Source organism: Homo sapiens, chromosome 11 (genome assembly GCF_000001405.40).
Source record: "Homo sapiens chromosome 11, GRCh38.p14 Primary Assembly".
NCBI classification, from domain to species: domain Eukaryota; kingdom Metazoa; phylum Chordata; class Mammalia; order Primates; family Hominidae; genus Homo; species Homo sapiens.
Window position 1 is genome coordinate 110,215,751 of NC_000011.10, and position 17,421 is coordinate 110,233,171.

Genomic DNA, 17,421 nt, shown 5'->3' on the forward strand with positions numbered 1-17,421 from the left:
TAATAAAAAAGATAAGGGCTTTCGCTTCTAAGAAAACCAAAATCCAAATGCGGAGTTTGCCACTGTGGTTGTCCTTCGGCAGGTTACCTAGCTATAAAATGGAATACCTTCAAGGACACCTGCAGCCTTTATGATGTCTTTGTGTGGATAAGGGAATAGTGCCCCTTGCTCAGGCAGATGCAGCCATTTAGCCCCAGGGTACAGTTTGTTGAGAAGAATACAAACTACACTGACACTTCCATCCCTGCACCTCTGTTCCTCAAACTTCTCTTGAATTTACCTTTGCTTAGCTCGATTCTGGTAGCAATGTTTTTGTCCTACAGGGCCAAACTGCTCAGTGGACATTGGCCTAGATCTTGTAGGCTTCTCACCATGGCTTAGGAAGCTCCTGTGATCTGGCTGTTCCTCAACTTCCTCTCACACATCACTCTCCTCCGGGGTCACCTGGCTCTGGACATACCGCCTTTCTGTCTTTTCCATGAACAAGTGAAGCTCTTTCTTGCCTCAAAGTATTTGCATATGTTGTTCCTTCTACCTGGAATTTTAAAGCAAGGCTGTAAATTGGTGTCCAGTGGGCTACTTCTGGCAAGCAGGTGTATCTAGTTTGGCTTGCCAAACTTTTTCTAATTTTTTTTTTTTTGAAACAGGGTCTTGCTCTGTTGCTCAGGCTGGAGTGCAGTGGCGCAAACACAGCTTACTGCAGCCTCAACCTCCTGGGCTCAAGTGATCCTCCCACCTCAGCCTCCCAAGTAGCTGAGACTACAGGTGCGCTACCACACCAATTTTTTTTCTTTTTTTTTTTTTTTAAATAGAGAGGAGGTCTCACTATGTCGCCCAGACTGGTCTCACATTCCTGGCGTCAAGTGATCCTCTCACCTCAGCCTCCCAAAGTGCTGGGATCACAAGTGTGAGCCACCACACTGGGCCCTAATTTTATTTTTAATTTTTGTAGAGTTGAGATCTTGCTATGTTGCCCAGGCTGGTCTTGAGCTCCTGGACTCAAGCAATCCTCCCACCTCAGCCTCCCAAATTGCTGGGATTACAGGTGTAAACCACTGCACTGAAATAGCTGACATGTATAATCTGAAAGACTTCACATAAAAATTACATTTCAACTCAAATATAGTATATTTGAATGTTTTTCCTCTAAAAGCCATTTTCTAGCTTATCTTGGAAGATCACAAGGTATAGCAACACAGGGCCTACCTACCCCATATGTAAAGGGCTGATGCCCTCCCTCTTCCTCACTCTTTGGACAGAGCAGGAGACTCCTGACGAGACACAGTCCCCATCAGGCCCAGTGCACTCTTTTCATCTGTCTGGCATTTGCATCTACCATCTTGATTTAAACAGAGGAACAAGAGGAGCTAGCCTTTTCCTCCTTCAGGTAGCAACTTACATGCCACTTCCTCAGAGACTTTTTCTTACCTCCTGTCCTTGATTACATTTTCTTCTAACTCAGTCCCTTATTTCATAGTTGTAAGTGGATATAAAATTGCTGTTTTTACAGGTCGGGGATGGTTAAATATCAGTAACTGCACATGATTCAACCTAGTAATACAATTTGTATTAATTATTCTGTTTTCCAGTGTTTGTGTTTTCCTACTGGAAGTCAGTTCATTAGGGCAGGGACTTGGCTACTATGATATTCTGAATGACTAGTACACAGCGCCTGTCAAGCGCTAACATATTTGGATGAATAAATGGAAGGACTCCTCCCACCAGAAGTCCTTAGCAGCTCCAGAACGTACACAAAGTACATCTTAACCTCTCCTGAGGAGAGCAGCGCAAGATATAAACAGACTTTCCTAACCGACAGCCCAAGACATGCTACCAGACCTCCTCACCCTCTACTCATACAGCGGATACCGTTGGCTCTAGTGCTGGAAATTACTCCTAAAGCATGATAGATTCTGAAACTCCTCTGTGAATCAGCATCAAGACCACTACTGCACTGAACATCCACTGAGATACGCCCTCGGCCCTAAAGGCAAGGGGTAGGGAGATGGTACTTGTTCCTGAGGCGACTGCTGACAATTACAATAACCTCTATAACCTTGTCACTGTTAGCAAGAGGTTGGTCACTACCTAGCTCTGAGTGCCTCTTGTTACTCGTCTCATTGTCATAATTATTTAACTCTTCTGTTTCTTCCTCTAGATGTTTTAAATTATTTATGATGATGTATTAAATTATTTATGAATCCTCAGAGCCTAACTTGAGGCATCTAATAAATGTTTAATGAATGAATAACATTATTTGAATGGATGACATCACTCAAGTGCTTCGTGGAGCCTATTTACTATAGATGGCAAATACGGGAACAGATTTTCACTTTACTAGGCATAATCTCAGTGACTTGAGCAGGGGTATGGAGTGGGGCTCATGCCAACGTGTCAGATTTAGACATATGGAGCTGACAGAGGACACTGTTAGAGACAGCATTTTCTTGTTCTTGTTATTCTTGGAGCATAAGAATTATGTGTAGATTTGGGGAAAACACTTTGCAGAAGACACACAGTTAAGTGACAACTACTCTAACTCAAAGAAATTGCTCTTTTCAATGATGTTCTTGTTGCTGAAACCAGTTTACATTTTAAACATCGTAATAGATTTTTTTCCCCATGTGGCACTGGTGGTCACATGCAGTCACCTTTCTGTCCTACACATCTGTGGGGTCCTCTCTTGCTTTGGCAGTACTTCATGTTGGCACTCTCCAAGGTCCTATACTAAACCCACCAATTCTTTCCTTACACTTTCCCCTTGGGAAATTTCATCTGACATTCCATCAGCATTCCAAACTCAAATTGTCCAAAAAGAAATGTCACAGGCACACCCAAACCTGCCCTCCCTCATGATTTTCTAGTATTTCACGGTACTACCTTCTGAATCCCAAACTTTACGTTTTCAATACAAATGGGCAGTCCCAGCACACACTCCACATCCTTCTGTGACTCGATATATTTGCATATGCAGTTACTTCTTTCCAGAAACTTTCCTATCTTTGCCTCCTCGATTAAGAGTAACTCATCCTGAAAGACTTGGCTTAGGGATCATCTCCCACAGGAAGCCTTCCCTGGAGCTCTGCAGTAAGATCAGGTGCCTTCCTTCTGAGCTCTCAGAGCTCATCTATCCATTCGTTTATTAAATAGGAGCATCTATGGCATTCCAGGCACTGCTCTAGGCCCTGGGCATATACCAGTGTACACAACAGTAAAATTCCTGCCCTCATGGAGCTTACATTCTAGTGGGGTGAGATAGATACAATACAAATAGGTAAATATATAGTATGCTAGATGGTAAGTGCTACAGAGAAAAATAAAGGCAAGAAATGGGTACCAGATACTTGAGGAAGGTACAATTTTAAATAGGGTTGTAAAAGGCGGCCTCATTGAGGTGGCATTTAAGCAAATTCCTGGAGGTGGCAAGGGAGTGAATCATAACAATATCTGGGAAAGTGTCTTCCAAGCTGAGTAAGAGGAGTTGGACCAGCTGGCTGCTTTAAAGAATAACAAGGAAGCCAGTGTGACTTCAATTTAACAAGAGAAGAGGAAATCAGCAGAGGAGGCCCAAGAGCTTCGGCAGGGACCAGAATAGATTAGGCTGCAAATGACCGCTGAAAAGAACATGGCTTTTACTCAGAGATGGGAAACCTCCGAAGGATTTTGAGCACAAGTGACATGGTCTGACTTACCTGTTGTAAGATCTTAAAAGACTGTAAAATGGCAAACAGGAAATCAAGAAAACAGAATGGAAGTCTTTTGCAATCATCCAGGCAATCCTGTGGGTGGAACACTGATGGCTGTGGAGGATGAGGTGGTCACATTCTGGATACATTATGTATCTTGAATGCTGGGCCAACAGAATTATGATTGGACTGGATGGAGATTATGAGAGAGTCATAGATGTGGTCAAGGTTTTGCCTAATTAGCTGGAAGAAGGGACTTACCATTCATCAACTGAGAAGGGGAAGACTGAGGCAGGAGCAAGTTTAAGGAGGGAAGATCTTGAGTTTAACATAAGTTTGAGATGCTTATTAGATATCAAACTGGAAATGTTATGTAGAGAGTTAAATATATACATCTGAAGTTCAGGGGAGAATTTGGTTAGAGATTTAAGTTTTTCAGTCTACAGGTGGTATTTAAAGCAATGACACTGGATAAGGTCACTAAGAGATCCAAATGTAGACAGAAGGACTGAGACTTGGCACACTATAATATGAAGGGGTTGAGGAAGGAACCTCACTTATTCATAACACACAAACACATATAAATTATGTATTTTGTGTACCGGGAGAAAACCATAAACTATTTACTGCTTAGGAGCATGTCTTTCTTATCTCCATATGCTTTGTATAGGCCTGGCACACACTCAACAAACATGGGGAGTGATACCTTCTAAGAGAATCATAACTAGAATCCTTAAAAGGTAAACAAAACATATTAAAAAATGGAACCCAAAGGACTTGGCTACAAATATGAATATTCATAATACAAAAGGATGAAAACTAAAATGACAGAAGTTACTATTTATTAACATTTCCAATATGCCAAGGCTGTAAACAAAGTATTTCATGTTTATTATTACAATCAACACTCACAAGATTAATAGTGTTACTTCTGTTTGATGAGACAACTCAGGCTCAAATGGCCAAGTGGATTCCCAAGGTCTCAGAAGTGGCCAGGCCAAGATTCAAACCCGAGGTGGGAATCTAAAACCCATGCAATTACCTCAACATCATGGTGCCTCACAGCTATCCCAAAGATTTCTCTTATTTTTTTTGAGACAGAGTTTTGCTCTTGTCACCCAAACTGCACTCGGCTCACTGCAACCTCCACCTCCTGGGTTCAAGCGATTCTCCTGCCTCAGCCTCCTGAGTAGCTGGGATTATAAGCAGCTGCCACCACATTTGGCTAATTTTTGTATTTTTAGTAGAGCAGGGTTCCACCATGTTGGCCAGGCTGGTCTCGAACTCCTGACCTCAGGTGATCCACCCACCTTGGCCTCCCAAAGTGCTGGGATTACAGGCGTGAGCCACCACGCCTGGCCCCAGAGATTCTCTTAATGCCTGTCAGACTATGTATCTAATGTGCTGTGAACTGATAAAACCTGGATCTAAACAGCCTCTGTAAAAAAAAAAAAAAAAAAAAAGTTTGTTGAAAAAGCAGGGAAATTTGGTACAGGATCCCTATACCCCTAATTTGGGGATAACCATAGGCTACAGAGTCTATATTTTGACTCCTGACAGTTTCTAAGCATGCCTAGAAAAACCATGCAGAGACAGGTGTCAGGATCAGACCTCAGTGGCAGCGACTGGCTAAAACAGCAATGGCAAGATGGTGACCATTACAGGCTAAGCCCTTCTGAATCTCTCTGGTACACAAATGAAGAACGTAATGTGACTCTTGGGGAAAAGGAATGGGGAGAGGGAAATCACAAATTACTAAGACTGATGTTTCTTCTATGTTATTAACATGAACTATCATTAGTACTTTTGAGACAAATCCTAGGCTGTACCCCCCCCAAAATACTTGTGGTGCAAGAAAATCATTTAAGAACTAAGATCAGGCTGGGTGTGGTAGCTCATGCCTGTAATCCCAGCACTTTGGGAGGCTGAGGTGGGCAGATCACTTGAGGCCAGAAGTTTGAGACCAGGCTGGCCAACATGGTGAAACCCCATCTCTACTAAAAATACAAAAATTAGCCAGGTGTGGTGGCACATGCCTGTGCTCCCAGCTATTCAGGTGGCTGAGGCAGAAGGATCGCTTGAACCCAGGAGGTGGAAGCTGCAGTGAGCCAAGAGTGCACCACTGTTCTCCAGCCTGGGCAACAGAGCAAGACCCTGTCTCCAAAACACACACACACACACACACACACACACACACACACACACACACGAAGATCAAAGTTTATAGGCACAAGAACAATATCTAAAACCTAAGCTCTAAAATCAAAGAACATTTCCTTAGCTTCATCAAGAAATATCACATGAATAAACACTGAATCAAAGTGACCTAAAGTTGAACTAAGTGGCCTCTCATTTCTGTATCTCCTGCACATTTTATCTCAGTTTTTCTTCTGGCACTTAACTACCATACTTTCTATACCTCAATTTGAGTCCAGGACTCAACTCCCCGATTAACCACAATTTTCTTGGCAGAGTTGCAAAGTCTCATCTATTCATCTATCTCCCATAATTCCAACAGTGCACAAACAGCAATTGCTCTGAAAATCACTGATTAAATGATTCTGAATGCAAATGTATATTATGTCTATATATGTCTTATTTCATGGAAAAGGGAATAAACATCATGCCTTCTTTTCTCCTAATTCAGCATTCCTTTAATAGTACTATTAAACCAAAAATATTTTAAATATCTAATTTTTAAGAGCTAAAGCATAATGGTTGAAAAATAAGAGGTGGCAGACAACATTTTCCTATCTGTATACATCTCACTAGTTATCTAGAAGACATACTTACTCGCACAGTCTTCCCAATGCTTGAAAACATTCCAAAAATTTACATACCTTAACCTCCTGTAAAGATGCAAACCTACTTTTCCAAAGGATACATTTCATACAAAGCCTTTTATACAGCTTATGCCCCCCAAATTCATTTTAAATATCCTTAAAAGTACATTAAACTATATCCAGAGGATTAGGTTCTGGATTCTAATTCCAGGTCTTATATTGTCTGGTACGAACATTTTACAAAATGGAAGTATTATCTCAGCTTATTTTAAGAATGCATATAAATTACTAAATGGACCGGGCATGGTGGCTGACACCTGTAATCCCAGCACTTTGGGAGGCCAAGGCAGGTGGATCATAAGGTCAGGAAATCGAGACCATCCCGGCTAACACGGTAAAACCTCGTCTCTACTAAAAATACAAAAACTTAGCCAGGCATGGTGGCGGACGCCTGTAGTCCCAGCTACTTGGGAGGCTGAGGCATGAGAATGGCGTGAACCCGGGAGGTGGAGGTTGCAGTGAGCCGAGATCGCTCCACTGCACTCCATCCAGCCTGGGCGACAGAGCCAGACTCCCAACTCAAATAAATGAATGAATGAATGAATGAATGGACAGGGATTTATATTGTACCTATCAACAAAAACGACTACTTTTAAAAGATGTTAATATTTCTTGAAAAATGACAAGCAGTTTAACCAACCTAAAGGTTTTAAGAAACCCAAGTGAGCTACTATCAAGTACATTTGCAAATATTAATGGGATTAAAAAGTAAACTATTATTTACTTTTACATACAATGAACGATTATATGTCCTTCAACAGCAAATGCTTTAAAAATACACAAATTTTAGGCTGGGCACGGTGGCTCACACCTGTAATCCCAGAACTTTGAGAGGCCGAGGGGGACCAATCACTTGAGGTCAGGAGGTCAAAACCAGCCTGGCCAGCATGGTGAAACCCCGTCTCTACTAAAAATACAAAAAATTAGCCAGGCGTGGTGGTGGGCGCCTGTGGTCCCAGCTGCTCAGGGAGGCTGAGGCAGAAGAATGGCGTGAACCCGGGAGGTGGAGCTTGCAGTGAGCGGAGATTGCGCCACTGCACTCCAGCCTGGGCGACAGAGCGAGACTCCATCTCAAAAAATAATAATAAAAAACAAAAAAATTAGCCAGGCATGGTGGCACACACCCTTAGTCCCAGCTACTTGGGAAGCTAAGGCAGGAGAATCGCTTGAACCGAGAGGTGAAAGTTGCAGTGCACCAAAATCGCACCACTGCACTCCAGTCTGGGCAACAGAGAAAGACTCTGTCTCAAAAAAATAAATAAAATAAAGTTCCTGAGAAGAAACCATCTACCTGTAACTTAGATTCTATCAAAAGATTTTATCTACCTGTATTTGAAAACCTTTATGGCCTAAAAATTGAGAACTAGATTGTATTAGGAATTGTCTGAGAGAAACAATCAAAAGTAAGAAAGAAAAAAAAATCTAAGATGTCATTTGGGTACCTCTAGCAAAATCTAAATTGATGAGCATAATCAACTACAGTTTTTGACTTTTAAAAAATCTAGGCTGGGAGCAGTGGCTCACGCCTGTAATCCCAGCACTTTCGGAGGCCGAGGTGGGCAGATCACCTGAGGTCAGGAATTTGAGACCAGCCTGACCAACATGGAGAATGGAGAAACCCCATCTCTACTAATAGAAAAATCAGCCAGGCATGAGAATTGCTTGAACCCAGGAGGCCGAGGTTGTGGTGAGCCGAGATAGCGCCATTGCACTCCAGCCTGGGCAACAAGAGTGAAACTCCATCTCAAAAAACAAAAAAAAAGAAAAGAAAGAAATCTAAAGAAATTTCCAAAGTGAGTTGTTTAGAGTTGTCACAGCCAGGAAATAATTGTGCCTGTATATTCTGAGATAATCTCTGAGTTATGTTTTGGTGAACATAATCCTGTCATAATGAGCTGAAAGAGTTATTTTTCTAACCCCAAACTGTTTATATATATATATTAAAAAAAAAAAACAAAAAAACAAAACCCTTCGAATTTCTTCTAAAAGCCAGTACATTATGACGGTCATCTGAGAGCAAAAAGAAGTCTGATAAACTATTGTTATAAGCATTATTCTGAGGTTAATAGTTTTCAACTATAAACCAGTATTAATAATTCAAACATACACAGATATTAAGCCTCGGTTAGGCATACATTTTTGTGAAGATAATGGATCTAGAATGGAAGTGTCCATAATCTGAATCCAGAGAAATGCTCTGAAAAAGGACAATCTGATTCAGAACTATAAAATCAGTTATAAAAGCTAGAGTACGAGAGCATAAGACTTGGAATTAGAACCCAGAACCAAATCCATTTGTTCTTGCATGTCTTTAATTTCTACTTCTATTGTGCCACTAAAGAACCCATTCCCAAAAAGTCATGGATAAAAGAAAAGAAACTGAGCTTTTAAGTGTCTCAAAAGAGGTCGGCTGGAAAATAAGTTCAGAAGAAAATACATTACCACAAACATGAACAATATAGCAAACATGAGAGCAAATTACACTTAGACATTTCCTTTATCAGAATTTCCTTTAAATTCATTCCATGGCCACGGCCTTTCTTAGGCTAACTACAGTAGACATAGCTCTTCTATTATGATATCTCCTCTGCACTTTCTAGTATACTTTACATCACAACATGAGTTTTCTTTTTCAAGCAAGGTTTAGTTATTGTTCCCTTCTGTAGCTGTGCCTTCCCAAAGCTACCAGTTGTCCTCAAATCAAATTAAAACATCTAAACATAGGATTCAAGGCTCCATAAATTCCTGGGCCCAAACCACTCCAGCTTTATCATCCTACAGTCAATGCACACTGGCTCACATTTTCTATCTATTTACTTTCATTTCTACAGTCTAGAGACTAACCATATACGTATTCTCTCTTCTGCCGTGCCTTTTTGTAACACCTTCTTCATTAAAAACTATTTTTCCTCTTCAAAAAAACACAAACACCAAAAGCACAGGCAACAACAACAAAATTGGACTTCATCAAAATTAAAAACTTTTGTGCATCAAAGAAAACTACACTATATCAAGGGCAAAAAGGCAATTCACAATGGGAAAAAAGATTTGGAACTCATATCCGAAAAGGAATATTCCAAATCTGGGATAATGGATTAATATTTTGAATCCCAAATATAAAGAATTCCTACAACAGAAAAATAAACAATTTTAAAAATGGGCAGAACTTGAATAGACATTTCTCCAAAAATGATATATAAATGGCCAATAAACACATGAAAAAAGTCTAACTTCTTTTATGATTTGAGAAATGTATCAAAGGAAAATGCAAGTCAAAACCACAATGAGGTACTGCTTCACCATTAGGATGGCTATCATCGAAATCAAGCAAGCAAGCAAATAAGCAAACAAACAAAAAACCCAGAAAATAACAATTGTTAGTGAGGATGTGGCAAAATTAGAACCTTGTGCACCGCTATGTGAATATAAAATGGTGCTGCTGCTGTGGAAAATATTACGACAATTCCTCAAAATATTAAACACAGGGCCAGGTGCGATGGCTGACGCCTGTAATCCCAGCACTTTGGGAGGCCAAGGCGGGCAGATCACCTGAGGTTAGGAGTTCAAGACCAGCCTAACCAACATGGAGAAATCCTGTCTCTACTAAAAAAAAAAAGAAGAAGAAAAAAATACAAAATTAGCAGGGCATGGTGATGCATGCCTGTAATCCTAGCTACTCGGAAGGCTGAGGCAGGACAATCGCTTGAACCCAGGAGGCACAGGTTGCAGTGAGCCAAAATCGCATCACTGCACTCCAGCCTGGGCAACAAGAGCAAAACTCCATCTCAAAAAAAAAAAAAAAAAAATTAAACACAGAATTAACATATGACCAAACAATTCCATTTCTGGGTATGTACCCCAAAGAACTGAAAGCAGGGACTCTAAGATATTTGTACACCAATGTTCAAAGCAGCAATATTCAGAGTAGTCAAATGATAGCGGTAATTTAAGCGTCCATCAATAACAGATAAATGGATAAAATATGGTATATGCATACAATGGAATATTGCTTAGCCTTAAAAAGGAATAAAATTCTGATACATACCACAAAATAAATGAACCTTGCAAACATGCTAAGTGAAATAAACCAGACACGAAAGGACAAATATTGTATGAGTTCACTTTTATGAGGTACTGAGAAACATCAAATTTATAGAGACAGAAAGTAGAACAGTGGTCACCAAGGACTGGGGAGGAGGGGGAATGGGGCATTACCATTTAATGGGTACAGGCTTCAGTCCGGGAAGATGAGAACATCCTGGAGATGGATGGTGGTGATGGTTACACAACAATGTGAATGTACTTAATGGCACTGAACTGTACACTTAAAAAATGGTTAAAATGATCAATTTTATGTATATTTTACCATGATAAAAAAAGATTCAACTGTAAACTTTTAACTTTATTAATCTTCTCAATATTTAATACAGATATTATAAATTACTCATATTTGACTGGTCAGTTGGGTCTAAAATGAGTCTTCCTAGGTTAGAAAAACTTTTCAAATTAGAGACTCTTTTAGGATAACTTTATTAACTGGTGTTTAAAATTTGGCCTATGAAATGAAAATTAAGTAATTTATCAGAAAACAAGCATACCGAAACGTATACTGAGTATTCATTCATATTCCCTGTCAGTTACTAATTTTCCTGCTTATTGATCTTCCTTTTATTGTGTAAGTTTCCTTCATCTCAAAACTGTTTTTATGAAAATAGCTAAAATTTAAAAGTAAATAATTAGGTAAATGCAATGATAGCATAGAGAATTCAAATGCTAGACTTGAATTTCATAGACTTTTCAATATATATAAAAGGAAAGTGAGGGAGGAGATAGATATTCCCTTATGATTCTGAAAAACACGATTCGTAAGTCTAAAACAATATAAAACATCATATTTAAGTTGAAAAAAATAAAAGGGATATCATAGCATATATTGTAATACAGTGCAAGAAGAATTTCATATAATAAATCCATGTTTTATCAAAAGAAACTTTTCCAAAAATAGTCACATAAATAATCTCAGAAATTCTGATCGCATATTACCACTAGGAAGATGGACATTTGGCTATACTGATTTAGTAAGTAAAAAACTAAAACCAGTATCACTATTTTTAGGAGCAAACTAAATGGCATGCATAAATATAAAAATGAATCCAAATATTTAAAATAATGATTAAATAAAAGTGAAGAACAATTAGAATAGGGTGGTAAAAATAAGTTGCACTGATAGAAGCAACTAGCTAGCTACAAACATGGAGGAATCTGGGCATACAAATAACAGGAATCAACAATATGGCATTGCCATTTTAAAAGAAATGATATTGTAATAGATAAATGCAAATGATCTAAGGCTAAGATAAGTTAATATTTGAAGTCCCCTATATAGGCCAAAACAAAGGGTCACAATCATCCTAATCTTGCTTCTAAGTCCTTGAATATAGCCAGCTCTTAATAAAAATGTATTGGCTAAATGACGACCATTAAATAAGAACCCGGAGCCATCAAGTAGTTAGGGATCTCCACAGCCAAAACATAAACCTGAATGCAAAGGATGTGTCATGGGGTATCACCTTAGTCAAGATCTTTCATGTAAAAATTGTGTAGGAAATACTTCAACTCCTAAAGTAGTCCATATAACCCCAAATCAGAAAACTCTTGTATCACAGAGGTTAAGGGAAATCAAAGTATTGATGAAATAAATGGCAATTTTAACAGATAAATGTAAATCTGAGTGTCTACTACCCAAATGGAAAGTAGCTGAACCATACAGCCATGATCTTTCCACAGAGAAAATGGTAGTTCTTATATCTTGATACATGGACATAGTAAGAAGTAGGTCTACTAAGGAAAAATTGGGAGTTAAAATTATTTAACTGGAAAAGCTAAGGATAAGAATGTGTTAATCTTTAACATATGGAACATGATTGTGAGCCAGCTTTTCCTAGTTACTACCGTAGACTGTGGGGGGTCAGGCTGCCTGAATATTTCATAAAGTTATCAAACACATTTGCAGAATCCAAAGAGCTTTTGTATGAGCTAGAATACTGTCATTCCATCTGACAGACCACATTAGAATATTTGATAGGTTAAAAAAATGGAAGTGGTACAAACTAAGAAAATGCTAAAGTTCTGTTCATTTAGAACAGACTTAAGAGAGGAACCTAACAGTACAGCTCCACACTGAACTGTTTTCTCTTATTCTTACTAATGGTATCTAAGCTTTGGTTTACTCATTAGTTCAGTATGTTAATGCTAAAGTTAGTAATCCCTTAGACTTTAGTTTCCAGCTTTAACTTTTAAGACTAATTGTTTTTATTGTGCATATGTAAAATGGGATGCCTGTGAATTTAAAAAATTATTTTCATTTCTAAAAACATTAATAATCAACACGGTGATCAATACTGGGACAGAATACAGTGGGATTTTAAAAAAAAACACAATAATATTGAAACACTTCTAATGATAAGAGTGACTTCCAATAAAATCTAACATAACTTTATAAGGGGCCATTCCAGTTCTTAAAACTCTAATTAGACATAAAGCAAAATATTATTTAAAATTCCATTTTCTGACAGGATCAGAGTAAAAAAATCACTATGTGTCCTTGAGAACAGAAATAATAAAGTGACAGTTAAATATTACTATCAACAAAAAAATCTAGCTTTTACTATTTTTATAGATTTATCACTTATTTAAGTTAAAAATTAGTAAGAAGACTTGAAAAAGGCAATTTCTAGATTTATAGTAACTGTTCTATAATACAGCTTCAAAATAAGAACATGTACTTACATAAATATACTTAGCATACAGTTCTTTAAAGAATGTTGAAATGTTAATAGTGAGATCAATCAATGACAAGAAACTGTATCTTCCTCAGGAAAAAGAAACTAACCACTATACAATAAAGGCAATGACTGGAAACCCTAAATTACGTTTTGTTGTCAACAAAGTCAATTTAATTTAATAATTTAACTTTTCCACAGAATTAATCACTATTACTTCCATACCAAAGAGGTATCGGGGAAAGAGTAGATCTATGAGGATTTAAAATTATTTCCTATCTACTTCTTACTTTTAAGTTGTGGTGATTCATGGCTGTGATAAAGATTGTAATTTTCAAGAAACATACAAAAAATCCATGTTAAATAACAACAGTGGACCTTGAAGGCATGAGCTTTTGTCACTTTATTGTTAACCAATGAATATTATCCAAAATTAGAGATGTAATTGTAACTTAATTGTACAACACAAAATTATGCTAATGGTAAAAGCCTACTGGGATTTACCAAATACTCATTAGTGTATTTTTACATTGACTATATGAACATGTGCTCGCGACTGCTAATAAGTTATAATTGGTTTAATCTCTAAGAAATCCATATTGCAAATGGTTCTTGTTTAGAAAAATTCACACAGCCTTAAAAATGGATTAAATCCATTTTAATCCTAATCTACAAATAGATCATAAACAGCAAAATATAACTGATAATTTTTCAATACTGTATCAAACTGATGTAGCTATGGTAGTGCACATAATTCAAAATGAGGAAAATTAACAAAAATCCAATGAAAGTTCAGGTTTTTATCTATTATGCAATTGCTTTAAAGTGAACATTTATGTCTCAAAACATGAATAGTAGGGTCCACCATCCATTCCTTTGATGTACTGCAAGTAGGAATATTCTCTTCCATAGGATTCTGAAGCATGTGCACAACCATGGTACAACAGTCACTTCAAGGTTAACCAGCTATGTTTTGTCCTACAAAGTTCAAAAAATATATTAAACGCAACCTTTCTTTTACATAATGTCTGCCCAGATTAATCCTTTTAAAGTCAGCAAAATCAAAAAAGCACAAGAGATATTTTCAGACACAACTTGAATCTACTGTGCATGAAAATGTTTAATAAAATGGCAATTTTAATAGATAAATGTAAATTTGACTGTGTAATACCAAATGGAAAGTAGCTGAACCACACAGAGAAAACAAGGCTTTACGTATCTCCAAATTTAGCTGTTTTACAATAAACAAAGTATTAGAACATGTGAATATTAGAACCTCCTTCTAACTGGAAAGATTTCTTCAGTAAGCTATAACCGAAATTAATATAAACTAAAATTATAATTTCTAAAATAAGAATTAACAAACCAAATTTAAGTATTTTTAGTCAGAGATTGAAACAAAATAAGCACAGTGATCTAGAAACCAAATATACTGATTATGTAACTATCGTATCAAGGTACAGACATTCTTCACATGCTACAAGGTTAGCATTTCTCTCTCTCATACACACACAGAGTACACACACACACACACACACACACACACACAGTCTCTCTCTCATTCTCTCTCTCTCTTGCTCAGCCATACAACACCCCTCCAGGATGATAGTATACCAGTGAGGAGCTTACAATTTTAATACAAATCAGAATCCCACAGTTTGACTCGACAAAAAGGCAGTTAAAAATTTAGCACTCTTAAGATATTCTGAAGGAAAATGAAATTTCGAAAGTATTTCTTGATGATCGAGGCTATGGTTATGAATTATAAAACATATACCTTACACACTCCATTGTGTTTGAACAACCAGTCATCACAGATGTAGTAGTGAGGTAGTATTGTTGTCCCCTCCTCGGGACTGATGTTTTTATATGCTGCCCTTCCAGAAAAGGTCCAGGTTTTAAAAAATAACATTAGTTACCAACAAATGTATATTTTCTTTTTTTAACTAATCATTTGTTTTTCTAAATCAGTCTATAAAAGAACAAAACTTTTAAAATCTTGCAGAGGCTGTTTCATCAGTAAACTCTCCTAGGGAGCTACTACTGCTGTCTAAACCTCTGTGAAATGGTAGGCAAAAAAAGCCATCAAAGGATCACAGGAGATAAAACACCAATCAGTGTAAGCTGTTAAAGATGACTGTGATTAAATAACCAAATATCAAATATCCAATAAGGTAATTAAATTTAGATTAAAAAAAAACTAAGCACCAGCTGTACATACATTATTAAATGTTCTAATCTCTTTCCTGATTCATAGCCATATTCTACATGATGATCAAAGACTGTCCACTGTGCTACCTACCATCATTTTAAACACTGCCTGATCTGTATGATGGTGGAATTATGGCTATGGACATGGCAGATAAGAGAAGGGCACACTGAGAAAATGTGAGTGAGAGAGAATGTGGAAATAGGTTAAATATGGAAAGGGCAAGGGAAACCCATTAAAATGTTCACCATTATCCTTTAAAATGTACACAGAACTGAAACCACACATACACATTTGTCAGACGTGATAATTAGTGTTAATCTTCAACAGAAAAAAAAAAGAAAAAGAAAAAAAATGTGAAAAGAGGCAATGGAACACCATTCTCCATTCCCTGGACCAAAAGAAAAAAGAAAACCAAGCATGATATCATACTGCCTTAATGTTGAAGAGCTCCCCTTAAATTTGTCTTTTAGCTAGCACAGTCAAACTGGTGTAAGTGCTTTGGCAAGGTGGGATGCATTCCATCATATCTGCAAAGGCCTGCTTTTCTCTGTTGGTGGTTCAGCTTATGAAGAACATATATGCAAAATAACAGCTCTCACATTGCTTCAAACTCATCGATACGCTGCTTTGTATTGCCTTGTCGAATCTGTCGCAGAGTCTTGTACTTATCACGGCCTGCTTTAACATTCTCAGCATGAAGAACATCATTTTGTGTTTTCTTGGTTTCATCTCTGGCTTGGGCTAATTCTGAACTTAATGCCTATTTAAAAAATAAAAAGTACAACTATTATTTTTTTCTTAGATTTAAAAAAATTTATGAAAATGGCTTTAAGATGCAAAAATACATATACCAAATCATTTCCACTGTGAAACCTTTTTCTTTAGGTATAAGTTTGTTTTAGTAATAGTGGTGGCAGTGGTAAGGGAGGAATACACATGGCCTTTCCACATTTATCAACCATGGTATTTTGTACATTATTCTAAATTTCCTTAACTTTCTAATCTAATACTTGAAATGGCTAAAAAGTTCAATGTAGCCATTACAGACTAATATTACTATGAGATTTAAAATCTATACCTCAAGGGAAGCCTTCTCCAAAAGTCTTAATACATTTATTGTAACTATCACCTCATTTTCTTTTAATATTTAAAGATTTTAACAATTAAAATATTAGATAACTTATTGGGAAAAAAGAAAGCTCATAATATTAAAATCCTCTACTTTGACCTAGTTATGTCCATGTAATATACTGACCTTTTGCCAATATAAAATCTCAACAAATAATTAAGATTATGTAATGTCTTAAACATAGTATATTAACTATCATTCTTTCCAATGTACATTTTATTTTATTTTATTTTTTTGAGACAGAGTCACTTACTATTGTCCAGGCTGAAGTGCAGTGGCATGATCTCGGCTCACTGCAACCTCCACCTCCCAGGTTCAAGCAATACCTCAGCCTCCCAAGTAACTGGGATTACAGGCTCATACCACCATACCCGGCTAATTTTTGTATTTTTGGTAGAGGCAGAGTTTCACCATGTTGGCCAGGCTGGTCTTGAACTCCTGGCCTCAGGCAGTCCACCTGCCTCGGCCTCCCAGAGTGCTGGGATTACAGGTGTGAGCCACTGCGCCTGGCCCTCAATGTACATATTACTGATCAAAAACTAAATTCACGTTTTTCAACATGACATTAGAATACTTTCTACCTTTTAAAATGGGTCAAGCTGTAATTAAATAACTCACTAGTTAAGGTCTGATTATACAAAGCTAACAGGTATTTGCTAATGGGTTCACACAACGGAAGAAATGAAATAACATGACTATAGGCCAAACACCCACAAACCAATCACAAGGGCAGCCAGTATTAAAACTTCTATATTCTTTTTAACTAAGT

The 17,421-nt window shown here is 37.4% G+C and overlaps 1 protein-coding gene across 20 annotated transcripts in view, besides 1 other annotated feature; it reads right to left on the reverse strand.

The window, feature by feature from the left end:
* RDX (radixin) overlaps nucleotides 1–17,421 on the reverse strand; it is a 121,693-nt gene that overhangs the window by 40,829 nt on the left and 63,443 nt on the right. For 12 of the 20 annotated variants that reach the window (NM_001440513.1, NM_001440515.1, NM_001440516.1 and 9 more), the window contains one exon: nucleotides 13,691–16,283. In NM_001440513.1, the coding sequence (NP_001427442.1) occupies nucleotides 16,119–16,283 (165 nt within the window). In that variant the 3' untranslated portion in view covers nucleotides 13,691–16,118. Of the gene's footprint in view, nucleotides 1–13,690; nucleotides 16,284–17,421 lie in introns of those variants that run through there. The other 8 variants (NM_001260493.2, NM_001440510.1, NM_001440505.1 and 5 more) reach the window with 2 other exon arrangements.
* Nucleotides 1,271–1,471: a silencer, noted in NCBI's record as "peak1465 fragment used in MPRA reporter construct". NCBI's record gives its function as "represses an SCP1 promoter by STARR-seq MPRAs in K562 erythroleukemia cells {active_cell/tissue: K562}" and the evidence as "EXISTENCE:reporter gene assay evidence [ECO:0000049][PMID:32103011]".